This window comes from Homo sapiens, chromosome 6, assembly GCF_000001405.40.
Source record: "Homo sapiens chromosome 6, GRCh38.p14 Primary Assembly".
NCBI lineage: Eukaryota > Metazoa > Chordata > Mammalia > Primates > Hominidae > Homo > Homo sapiens.
Genome location: NC_000006.12, coordinates 135266677 through 135280025, shown reverse-complemented (window position 1 = coordinate 135280025; position 13349 = coordinate 135266677). Strand labels below are relative to the sequence as shown.

Genomic DNA, 13349 nt, shown 5'->3' with positions numbered 1-13349 from the left:
TCAGTGAGAAGGAAAAGATGTTGGGGAAAGGTCCCAGGGATGGAGAATGAGTCCTGCTCAGTGGGAAAGAGGTGAGAAGCTGGGCAAGGGGCCTCAAGTGGTCCCAGCCTGCTTACTACAGGTTAACTGTAAACACTTGACTAGTTGTGTGTTCTTTGTATTTTCTTTCTTTATCCTTACTATTGGAAACGGATCCTGTCTCGGAAGACCTAAGAGGTTTGTTGCTTGGGATTAAGTTTTAAAAGAAAAGCATCCAGCAGATCCCCAAACTGAGTAGCTCAAGGGAAACGTAAATGAGAGACCATGGAGGAGAAGCTTGTGTGGCCTCCTGCTTCCTCCACCAGAAGGTCCCCTTCCAGAGCTATTCCATGTCACAGTTGGGAAATCAGGTGGAGGGTGTGCCCAAAAACATGAGAACGAAGACCCTTCTTTCACACAAGTGACTTGTCCAGGACCACAGACACCCGTGGCAGCACCCTGCCTCCTCCTGCCAACTCCCGCTGTTTAGGGGACATTCTCACCTAAAGCGGCATCATCAAATCCTAATGCTGAAAAGTCCTGTATTTTCTCAACCTCCTACACAACTAAAACTGAATATCCCTCATAGAACACGGTCTATGTTCTGATAAATCCCACTTTAAAACCAGGTTATTATAGGCCGGGCACGATGGCTCACGCCTGTAATCTCAGCACTTTGGGAGGCCGAGGCGGGCGGATCACGAGGTCAGGAGTTCGAGACCAGTCTGGCCAACATAGTGAAACCCCGTCTCTACTAAAAATACTCAAAAAATTAGCCGGGCGTGGTGGTGTGCGCCTGTAATCCCAGCTACTCGGGAGGCTGAGGCAGGAGAGTCATGTGAACCCAGGAGGCGGAGGTTGCAGTGAGCCAAGATCGCGCCACTGCACTCCAGCCTGGGCGACAGAATGAGACTCTGTCTCAGAAAAAAGAAAAAAGAAAATTAAAAAAAAATAAAAAATAAAACCAGGTTATTACAAATGATGAGTTTGAATAAATGAGGGTAAAAGTAGGTAAAAAATGTAAACAAGGTGGCATCAGAGAGTCAGGAGAAATGACATTTCTATGCACACATGGCGGGAGGATGTTAGGTTTTTTTTTTTATTTTTATTTTACTTTAAGTTCCGGGATACATGTGCAGAACATGCAGGTTTGTTACATAGGTATACGTGTGCCATGGTGGTTTGCGGCACCCATCAACCTGTCATCTAGGTTTTAAGCCCCGCATACATTAGCTATTTGCCCTGATGCTCTCCCTCCTCTCGCCCTCCCCACCATTTATTTTCATTTTTTGACTATATTGACAACTGGATACAGATAGTGTGACTAGTTCTATTTACCTACCAGTAGCTGGAATTAAGGACTACTTTCCTAAATATATTTTTATAATTTAGGATCCTCAATAATTTTAACACTTAAATATGTGTTTTAATGTATGTGTATGTCAAAATGTGAATGTGTACACATTCACTTACTCAACAGCTTAATTGCTGAATGCCCGTTTGTTGACAGACACTTGAACCAGGAGCCTTGGCTCTTCTACTCTGTTTCACCTTGAAATTGTCATATATTTATTATGGCTGCTGTCACCCTACAGTGGCTGTCAGAGGAACTCCATACTCTACCAAACTTGAGCCTCATTAACAATCTTTAGTAGACAAAAAAAAGCATTATTCTCCCACTTTTAAAAACCAGTTACAAAGAAGTCAAATGACTAGACCAACAATTGATCAGAACCCAGGTGCCCTCTGCCCAGTGCTATGTTTTTCCAAACAGGAAAATTCTTTACTGACATCGAAGAAATGTGGAAATAAATTATAAGACAAGCCAATCTGTGTTCCCTGTGTAAGACACAACTATGAATTAGTAAGGCTAATTTAGATATATGTTTTTTGGAATCAACTTATGGTCTCTTCCTGTAGTCATTTATGTTTGTGTTTTTGCTGCAATTCTCTGTTTGTGTATTTTATTTTTAGGCAAGAATCTAAAATATGAAATCCCAACACAGGTCAAATAAGAGAATTTTTAAAAATATGTTTTATTTCAATAGCTTTTGGAGTACAAGTGGTTTTTGGTTACATGGATTAATTATATAGTGGTGAAGTCTGAGAGTTTAGTGTACCCATCACCCAGGTAGTGTACGTTGTACCCTATATATAGTTTTTTATCCCACATCCCTCCTCCCACCTTCCCCCTTCTGAGTCTCCAAAGACAATATATCACTGTATGTCCTTATGTCCTCATAGCTTAGCTCCCACTTTTAAGTGAGAACGTATGGTATTTGGTTTTCCATCCCTGAATTACTTCACTTAGAATCATGGCCTTCAGCACTATCCAAGTTGCTGCAAAAGACATTATTTTGTCCCTTTTTATGACTGAGTAGTATTCCATGGTGTATACATGCCACATTTTCTTTTTTTGTTGTTTTTTTTGTTTTGTTTTTGAGACAGTTTCACTCTTGTTGCCCAAGCTGGAATGCAATGGCACGATCTCGGCTCAGTGCAACCTCCGCCTCCCTGATTCAAGCGATTCTTCTACCTCAGCCTCCAGAGTAGCTGGGATTACAGGCGCCTGCCACCATGCCTGGCTAATTTTTTTTTTTTTTTTTTTTTTTGAATTTTTAGTAGAGACAAGGTTTCACCATGTTGGCCAGGCTGGTCTCGAACTCGACCTCAGGTGATTCACCCACCTTGGCCTCCCAAAGTGCTGAGATGACAGGTGTGAGCCACCGCGCCCAGCCCAACATGCCACATTTTCTTTATCCACTCATTGGTTGATGGTCACTTAGGTTGGTTCCATATCTTTGAAGCTGTGAATTGTGCTGCAATAAACGTGTGTGCATGTGTTTTTTCATTTAATTACTTATTTTCCTTTGGGTAGATAGCCAGTAGTGGGGTTGATGGTAGATCTACATTTAGTTCTTTAAGGAATCTCCATATTGTTATCCATACAGGTTGTACTAATTTACATTCTCACCAGCAGTGTAAAACTGTTACCTTTTCACCACATCCACGCCAACATCTATTGTTTTCTGACTTTAATGATGGCCATTCTTATCGCTTCTCAGCCTTTTGGCTAAGATCAAGTGTAATAATAGCCATTCTTGCAGGAGTAAGGTAATATCTCATTGTGGTTTTAATTTACATTTCCCTGATGTTTAGTGATGTTGAGCATTTATTTATGTTTCCCGGCAATTTGTATATCTTCTTTTGAGAAATGTTTATTTATGTCATTTGCCTACTTTTTGATGGGATTTTTTTTTCTTGCTGATTTGTTTGAGTTCTTATAGATTCTGGATACTAGTCCTTCGTTAGGTGCATAATTTGCAAATATTTCCTCCCATTCTGTGCATTGTTTACTCTGATGATTATTTCTTTTGCTGTGCAGAAGCTTTTTAATTTAATCAGGTCCTATTTATTTTTGTTTTGCTGCATTTGCTTTTGGGGTTTGAGTCATGAATTCTTTGCTTAGGCCAATGTCCAGAAGAGTTTTTCCAACATTATCTTCTATAATTTTTATGGTTTCAGGTCTTAGATTTAAATCTTTGATCCACCTTGAGTAGATTTTTGTATAAGGTGAGAGATATGGATCCAGTTTCATTCTTCTACACGTGGCTATCCAGTTTTTCCAGCACCATTTATGAAACAGGGTGTCCTTTCCACAGTTTATGTTTTTGTATCAAGTAAGAGCATTTAAGTTTTATGTTTTGTAAATGGGAAAAAGAGATATGCAGAAAAGACCAGAATTCCTTTTTCGAAAACTTTTTATGAGCCAAACAAAACACAATCATTTAATGCATTGTATATTCAAATCCAATAGTTATTGTTCAAATGCAAATAAATTGTGTTTTCTATTAAGGGGTAATATATTTCCGTTTGACCTAAGGCTTCTTTAGATCAACTCACCAGGCTGGAAGTACCACAGACCACTTCATGAAATGCAAGCCTGACCATACCACAGCCTCCTTAAAACTCCACACTGAAGCCCCATCCATTATCCTAAATCCATTGAGATCTTCCTGTTTGCCTAGAATAATTCCTATACATCTATCTTTGTGCCCTCTGATACCACAAATGAAATTCAGTCACCTTGGAAGTGACAGAAAAATTAAGAAACTTGGTTGATACCTGTAAAAGTCCAAGTATCGTTTACAGCCATACCACCCTGAACGTGCCCGATCTCAGCTGAAAAAGTACAAGCAGCTCAGCAGTGTGGACAAAAGCCTCCAGGATCCACTCCTGTGGCTTTTCCAGGTTCATTGGCTTGCTGTGGAAGTCCTCTGCTCACATGGCAGCAGGACCATACTACTTCCCTCCGATGACCATTGACACTCCAAGCCTTTGAGTTCTTGCTACTTGAAAACAGTTTTTTCCCAGTGCCTTTCCTGGGTATTACCATTCTGGTTTCATCTCAAATGTCACATGCACTAAGATTCCTTTCCTGATCTGTTAACGTTGGGTGAGTTACCTCCCAGTGTTCTCATTATGCCCTACACCTAATGCCTATCAAGACATTAGCACAGAACATTGAAACTGACATACCTATAGATTGTGAGCTCACGAAAGTTAGAAATGCTATCATGCACATCTTTGTATGCATGACACCAGCCACTGACTTGGCACACAGTAGGAGGCTGAAAATGCTGTTCGGACCTGGGTGTGGATCACAATAGAAAGGCTGAAATAACAATCTACTAATATTCTCCATCTATCAATCAACATGTATTATTCAATATATCTTTTCTGCCTGAGACAATTCTTATAATTGCTCAGTATCACAGAATGTTCTCAAATGGAATATAATCTTTTTAAAATTCTAAATGCCCAGCAAGAATAGGGAATTTATGGAGAAATCTAAAAGTATTTCATTAGTCATTCTACCATAGCTTCCCGTGGTCACAGCTGTCTTCTTTCTTTTTTCATTCTCTCTTCCCTATATCACACTCTCTTTTTTTCTCATTTCTGGCTCCCTTTTTTCTTCTTCTCTGCCTGACTTCAGCCAGTAGCATTCACTGAACTCAAAATTTAACCATTAACACGACTACTGATCACTGTCTCAGTCTGCTCCTGATGCTGGGGAATCCCAGACGGCAGTCCCTTCCACGCTGTGAACTTAGAGACCTTCACTCATGCCTGAAGTGCATGCTGAGTAACTTTTTATTTACATAAAGACACAATCTTAAAATGTGGGATGTAATCTTCCTTTTATGTCTTTAACTTTTTTTATTGAGGCAAATTAGCCAGAAGGTTAAATCTGCTTTGCATCATATTTTGCATTCTCATTCATTTGTGGGTAAATAGCCCTCAAAAGACTTCTAAAAATTTGTATATCTAAACATTGTTGCCTGTGAATCTGATATCTCGGTCACTTTTTTATTTACAATTTCAATAGTTATCTGAGAGAAAAGATTCCTAGATTCATAAACAAAAGTCCAGAGCATCACTGTGGCTGAGTCTGATCATCCAACGATAAGGATTCACAGTTCCTTGGGTTAGTCTTCGTGCCATTAAGTGAACCTAGTCCTTTGCATCACCCATATTTTTATAATCTAAAAAAAAAAATCTAAAAGCTTCGAACAACTCTTTGTTCAACAAGCAAGCCCAATATCCAGCCCAGCCAGCAGTGTTGACATTAGAAGTTTTGGCCAGATGTAGTGGCTCACGCCTGTAATGCCAACACTTTGGGCGGCAGAGGCAGGCAGATCACGAGGTCAGGAGTTCGAGACCAGCCTGACCAACATGGTGAAACCCCATCTCTACCAAAAATACAAAAATTAGCCAGGCATGGTGGCATGCACCTGTAGTCCCAGCTACTCAGGAGGCTGAGGCAGGAGAATCACTTGAACCCAGGAGGCAGAGGTTACCATGAGATCACACCACTGCACTCCAGCCTGGGCGACAGAGCGAGACTCCATCTAAAAAAAAAAAAAAAAAAAAAAAAAGTTTCAAGAGCACCCTGATGACCACGAGGCAGAGGTGTAGAAGTCACGCTTATACTGACTGGATGGAGGAAAGACATGGAACTCAACGTCCTCTGGCACTAGTTTAGTTCAGCCTCATCTGCTCATGGTCAGGGCACTGTCACTCGGGTTTCTATGTGACTGACAGCAATGCTGCTGAACACCTTTAATTTACTCTTGATGTGCTTTCAACTTTTGAGTTTATACTCCTTCTGAGGATTTGTGTAACTATACTTCTAAGTATCAATGTTAGTCTGGTCAGCTCCTTAAGAATGGAGGCCATTGTGGGTAACCTCACTATGGCACCCACTCTGTCTACACAGCCAGAGAAATGTAATTTTGGCATTTATCATATTAAATAAATCACTCTTAGCCAAGCGTGGTGGCTCTCGCCTGTAATCCCAGCACTTTGGGAGGCCGAGGCAGGTGGATTACTTGAGGCTAGGAATTCGAGACCAGCCTGGCCAACATGGCAAAACCCCGTCTCTACTAAAAATACAAAAATCAGCCAGGTGCAGTGGCGAGCATCTGTCATCCCAGCTACTCAGGAGGCTGAGGCAGGAGAATTGCTTAAACCCAGGAGGTGGAGGTTGCAGTGAGCCGAGACCGCACCACTGCATTCCAGCCTGGGCAACAGAGGGTGACTCTGTCTCAAAAAATATATATAATAAAATAAAATAAAATAAAATAATATAAATAAATTACTCTTAGTGATACCACATCACTCTGCTTAAAAATTTATTTAACCACTTTAGTAGGCTGCAGCTATTAAGTTCACAAAATAATTGCCATTATTCCAATTTACTTTGTTCTATGTACAGAGTCATAATTTATCAGGAAAAGAAAAAGTGTTTATTGTTATAATTATTCATAATTATAGACTAATTTTAATAATAGCTAGCATCTGCTGAGCACACACTAGGTAAACTAGGATTCTTGTTAGGAAATGTGCACTATCTCATTTAATATTCAGAATAAACTTACAAGGTAGATATTACTACTTCCATTTGAAAACAAAACAAAAACCCTAAAGCTCAGAAAGGTTAAACAGTGTGTCTGAGATCACACAGCTTTTAAGTTGGGGTGTCAGGATCAGATTTCTGGGATGTCTGACTCCAAAATTCCCCTCTTAATCATTAGGTTACTGCCCTTGAGTGTGCCAAACTATACACTGTATTTCTTTTAAAATGAACTAGCTTCTTTTAAATGCTTCTTCCACTCACAGTTGACAAAAAGTAACTTTTTATTATTAAAAAATGAGTAAGATCCAGACCAGGCTACACAACATAGTGAGACCTCGTCTCCACAAAAAATAAGAAATAAAATAGCCAGGTGTGGTGGCAGACACCTGTAGTTCCAGATTCTTGGGAGGCTGAGGTGGGAGGATTGCTTGAGCCCAGGAGAATAAGGCTGAAGTGAACCATGATCGCACCACTGCACCCCAGCCTGGGTAACAGTGAGACCCTGTCTCTAAAAAAAAAAAGAAAGAAAGAAAAAGAAAAACAGTGAAGCAAGCTAAACATTTAGTATTTTCCAAATTTCTAATACCTTTTACAAAACAATCTTCAACAAAATAGGTTGATCAAAATGATCTCATGGTTGCATATTGCTCTGGAAATATTTATATATTTACATCAACCTTTAACATTTAGGCCAGGCACAGTGGCTCACACCTGTAATCCTAACAGTTTGGGAGGCCAAAGCGGGGTGATCGCTTAAGCCCAGGAGTTTGAGACCAGCCTGGGCAACATGGTTGAAACCCTGTCTCTACAAAAAAATACAAAAAAATTAGCCAGGCATAGTGGCATGTGCCTGTGGTCCCAGCTACTTGGGAGGCTGAAATGGGAGGATCGCTTGGAGCCTAGAAGGTCGAGGCTGCCGTGACCTGTGATTGTGCTACTGTACTCCAGCCTGGGTAACAAAGAAAAAAACAAAAACAAAAAAACCTTTAACGTTTAAGTAAACTTTTTTTTTTCTTCGAAATTTATGTGATACAGAGAAGTTATCCTAGTCCAAAAAGAATGGTGAATAGAAGACCATCCCCAATGCGTTCCACACCCTTGTAAGAATTATGACTATTAGGGTTGCTTTGGGATGAAAGGAGAGGTCCTTGTGGAAGATCTTCCTTCTTGGCATGTTCTCTCACTGTCCTAAGGAGACGGAGATGGCCCTTTGTCACTCGCAGCCCTTGTTGCACCATAAACAGCCTCATCGTAGGTGTTAATTTGCTGTCTGTCACATGATAATGTGTTTTCACATCTATTCCCAGTGCTTACCTTAGTGCTGGCACATAGTAGGCACATTCAATAAATAAAGAGCAGAGGCAGATCTAGGCCCACAGGCTTATTTTCTATCTATCAATAACCGATCTGAGGAGGAATCGTATGGAGGGATATTAACATATGGAAAATATGCAGTAGGATCACATCATCCCACATTGGCCCTGTGTCTATTTCTATTTCCTAGAGGAAATCTATTTCCACTCCTCCCCGCTTTCCACCTCCCTCCTCTCTTAGCCTGTACCCCCGCCCCTCTGCCCTGGGCTCAGCTGCAAGGTGTCTTTTTAATTCTTACATTCTCTTTATTTACATCAAAATTGTTTGCAGAGCCCCACACCTTCTGGCTTCCAGCTGGTAGAAGGTGCAAACAAAAGCAAGACAAACACACACTGCATCTGTACCTTGAAACAGCCTCAATTCCAGGTGGTTGAAGGGACTCCCTGGGGCACCTGGAATTCAGGTGGGGCCAGAGCAGTGTTTCAAGTCAAGCCTGCCTGTAATTCCCCTTTCCTCTTTGCTGCCAGGCAGTGCAGAGCTGGGCGTACAGAGCCGATTGCTCAAGCTCTCTCAGGTGTGTGTATCTGGGTGTGTGCAGCAATGAAGGGCAGGCCAGTGCCCCGAAACTTAGCCCTTGGCTTCACCAAGGCGGCTGTGAGCCAAGGTCAGGTTTCTGCGTCTGTTTCCTAAAAATCATATTCCTCCTGGACTAAAGGGGAAAATTCTTCTCCCTGTGGTTGTTCTTCTGAACTGTGGTACCAAATCTCTAGAGCCTGCCTTTTGGGAACTGAAGCAGGTAGTGAGGAATTCCTGCTCCAGCCATTCTGAGGCCAGGGAGGGGGCCCCGCCCCCGCTTCCTCCACAATATGTTCCAGTTTTCCCTGTCACTGATTGCTCCTGGTTACCTTGTGGTGCCAATGGATGTAAAGGCATGTCAACACTGCCATTACAAGCTTTTCTTGTCAATGATTCATAACATTAGGACAAATAATCATCTGGCCTTAATCCCGGCAGGCAGAAAAAGTACAGCAGAGTTAACAGGAAGGTAACGTATGCAAGTAGTTGAGTATTTGCTAATTATTTCCTGACCCAGCGAACCCAATAGACTGTAGCAACAATTTTTCACCCTGTGGTGTTTAAACTTTCATAAGTAGAAAACGGACCTGGATCAGAAAGAAGGGAGATGGGCTTAAAAAAGAGAGTCTTTTGGTGTCTGACTTGAGTACTTTTTTTTTTTTGAGTCAGTCTCGCTCTGTTGCCCAGGCTGCAGTACAGTGATGCGATCTCCACTCACTGCAACCTCCGCCTCCTGGGTTCGGGCAATTCTCCTGCCTCAGCCTCCTGAGTAGCTGGGATTACAGGTGCGCACCACCACGCCCAGCTAATTGTTCTTGTTTTTGTTTTTGGTTTGTATTTTTAGTAGAGATGGGGTTTCACTATGTTGGTCAGGCTGGTCTCAAACTCCTGACCTCAGGTGATCCGCCTGCCTCGGACTCCCAAAGTACTTGGATTACAGGTGTTAGCCACTGCACCGGGGCTGACTTGTTTCTTTTGGCCAAAAAAATTAAGAAAGCTTTATGAAACCTTGTACAAGGTGTCCTGTTTTCCTCTTAATTCTTCCAAAATTCTTTTCTTTAAAGTTCAGTTTTAAACATTGGCAAATCAAGTAAGAAGGAAGCCCATTTCCTTATGGCACAGCTCAATACTCAATAAGAGATACAGGATGAAAACCAAGAATCTTCATTCCCAGCTCTATAGGAAAAAAATTAATACGATTTATGCAAAACTTCAAAGGAAGCCCCTCCCTCCACACACCTCCCATTTGTGTAGGTGTTTCCTTCATCCCCCTACCACCAGTGTGGGTTTTTAGGTGAGCATAATTGTGCTTTTGTCTTGGACTTGGCTCACCCCACTACACTCAACTCCCAGAGCCCCTGGCCTGGAGCCCAGGGTGGGGCTTTGCCCTCAGTACTGTAAACAATCATAATTACCTTTACAAACTTAAAAAAAAAATTTTCAAGGCCAAGAATATAGAGCATACTATAACCCCTTGTGCATGAATCTGTTAGAATGTGCGTGGTGTCTCCCTCATAAAATGGCCAAAGGGAAAAGAAAATCAGCAGCTCTCAGTGTCCCCATGGGCCTCTCTGGGCCTGGGAGTTCTCTGCTTCCAGCTTGTAGTGGTGACAGCAGTACAAGTGAAAGGGATAAATATTGAAGCAGAACTTAAAGAGATCTTCTTACCATTCATGCAGCTTCTGTGAATTGGATGGAAGCAGAGGCTTGGTGTAGATATGCCTACCCTAGACTCCGACGGGGAGGAGGTGCGTCTCCTGACCTCGGCTTGTAGCATGTCTGAGGCTACTCCTTACAGTATCTCTGTCTGGTTGACAGCACCTATTGTTCTGATGAAGTTGACCTGCATCCAAGCGTCTGCCTCATTTTGATTACCACCATGGTGCCAAGGCTATGATTCCCACATAATCCTGGTAGTTTATTTCATGCACAATCACTAACAGGTGTGATCTATGTCTAAGATCAAAACAATTCATGAAAATTCAAAATTTTTAAATTCAATCACTTTTGGCCACACAGTTTTATCAAGATTCATACAAAAGGTTTGATTTATCAATGAGATGGATTGCTTTCCAGGCCACAGAGTTCCTTTGATTATTTTACTGCCAGGTTAACAGGTGTGAGTATGGAGACCTGAACATCTAGACAGATGCCTTCAACCTCGCATGGACTCATTTCAAAGGCCATGTCAAAGCCAAAGACATAGAATGGGGAGCTCCCTGGCTGGGCAAGTGTGATGATTTTACTAAGCCTCTTTAAGGAAGTATCAGAGTTGTGTACATGTCATTTTTTCCATTCAGAAGCCAAAACACTGCTCCATGGCTGTGAGTTATTGAGCTCATGCTCTGTGCTTGTGTTACGGTATGTTTCGGGCATGTTCATCATCAAGAATGGTCATCTGTAGTGTTCCTTGTGCTGAGAGAAGGTGATTTACAATGCAGCTACCAGAATGAGAAGCCATGGGATCCACACTACTAACACTTCATTAACAAGCTCTTGGTTGGGCACTGTGGCTCACACCTGTAATCCCAACACATTGAGAAGCAAGACAGGAGGATCGCTTGAGGTCAAGAGTTGGAAGCCAGCCTGGGCAATATACAGACACCCCCATCCCTACAAAAGTTAAATTACAAATAAAGTAAATTAGCTGGGCATGGTGGTACATGCCTGTAGTCCCAGCTACTCAGGGGGGCTGAGGTGGGAGGGTCACTTGAGCTCGGGAGGTCAGGGCTGCAGTGAGCCCTGATTGCATCACTGCAGTCTAGCCTGGGCAACACAGCAAGACCCTGTCTCTAAAAAAAGTAATACATATATTTTTAAAGCAAGCTCTTTGCCTTGCCTCAGGACCCTGCTGAGGAGCACCTCCGCCCCCACCCCAACAGCTCTGGGGCCTTCCCTTGAAGTGCTAGCTTATAATCACCAGTTACCAACTTCCCTTCTCTCCCTAGGAGGGCTCAGTGTTTAGGAGGTTATTCCTCCCTTGTGCTTAGCTTCTTTCCAAATGTTTAACTCTTGTGATGGTCCTGAGAGCCATTCCTGCAGTACTCACAGTTTTTGCTTCTTCCTTTAATAAAGATTGCCCACATCCCAGTGTAATCTCCCAATTCATTCCTCCATCAACGCTCCCTCAAAACCACCAGAGAGAGAGCATTCTCCCTATAGTCCTGTCTGTCTGGTCTCCACACAAATGCAACCACTTGGGTGGGGGACTCCCCAGTGGCAAATGTCCTTGCACACAACTATGAAAAGTAACCCAGGTGAGATGCAATGGGAATCCTGGGGGAAACACAACCGAACCAGCTCAGGACCAGTGAAGCTGCCCAGTTCTCTGTCTTTGGAGGTTTTTAAACTAGGCCGCACGATGTTGTCTCCTCTCTACTGCTTGCTACCATCTAAAATAATTTGTTTAATGGTAATCCAAAAAAAAAAAAAAAAAGCTGAGGGCATAAAGGGATTGGTTTTCTGGGACAGGTAGCTTAAGACTTAACACCCAGAGAGTTCAACTTGTAACGCATCCCATTCCAGAGGCACATTCGTCACATGCTGTCTCCATCTATCTATTGATTAAAAAAATAAGACATGCCCCAGCCTTGGCTTCAAAGCTGGAGAGACCTAGCAATATTTTTTTAAAACTTTTTCTCTGACATCGTGTCATTCCTTCTTTTGTTGCAGGTGGCATTAGTTCGAAGTACAGTTCCCATGCCTTTGGGCTGAATGCTTAGAACCTACAGAGGGGTATGAACTGTTTTCTAAACCATGAGACTGGTCTCTTTGGCTCATCTAGGCAAAAAAAGGGTTAAGTCCTCTGGGTAAAACATTGTCAATCACTAGTGGCTGCCACCAAGATGAAAAACAAGCTGCACCTGTACACAGGCAATTTAAGAGATTCTGGTCAGCTATTTTTCTCTGGTGCTTTGTTCTGCCAGCTGCCTCTGTGCTTTGGATGCAGGTGGAAGCATGGACTTTGCTATCTATAAAAAAATTTAATGGTGAAGATCAACTTCCGCTTCACCTCCCCAGGGATCAAAGTTTTGGGGCTTTTTTTTTTCTTTTTCCTGAAAGACTGGTAGAGCAACGCCTAGACAATGGGTAAGTTGTTGAGGCTCCCCTTCTCCCCACACAAGTAGCAGGAGATCTTTGACAGATTCTATTTTTTTTTCTTCCCAATTTGAAGGAAATAAAGGAAATGTGGAGATGCATGTCAAGCATTTGCCAAAAGGAGGGCTGGAGAATGACAGCTGGGAGCCTGGGTCACCATCGCAGCCTGCTGCACGTAGGGCAGGTGGCAACGACGTGGATAGGACAGGCTCTCTGCCTGCGAGTGTGAGACACACGCTTACTATACAGCATCCTCTGTGGAAGGGAGGGTGTCATACAAGTTATATACATGACCAGATGACTTTCCATGACACAACGGATGACCATTAAGGTGTGTAGGAAGGAAAGAAGCTTAAAAACCCGATGCTCTGGCTTAACAAGAAGCTCTAAGTAAATGTGCCTCACCAATGACATTATCAAAGTT

General features: G+C 42.4%; 2 annotated features.

The window, feature by feature from the left end:
- Nucleotides 8322–9216: an enhancer, noted in NCBI's record as "OCT4-NANOG-H3K27ac-H3K4me1 hESC enhancer chr6:135591948-135592842 (GRCh37/hg19 assembly coordinates)". NCBI's record gives its function as "activates a minimal SCP1, AML or CMV promoter by ChIP-STARR-seq in primed H9 embryonic stem cells {active_cell/tissue: H9 hESC(primed)}" and the evidence as "EXISTENCE:reporter gene assay evidence [ECO:0000049][PMID:30033119]".
- Nucleotides 8501–8795: a silencer, noted in NCBI's record as "tiled region #8645; K562 Repressive non-DNase unmatched - State 23:Low". NCBI's record gives its function as "represses a minimal TATA promoter and a strong SV40 promoter by Sharpr-MPRA in K562 cells {active_cell/tissue: K562}" and the evidence as "EXISTENCE:reporter gene assay evidence [ECO:0000049][PMID:27701403]".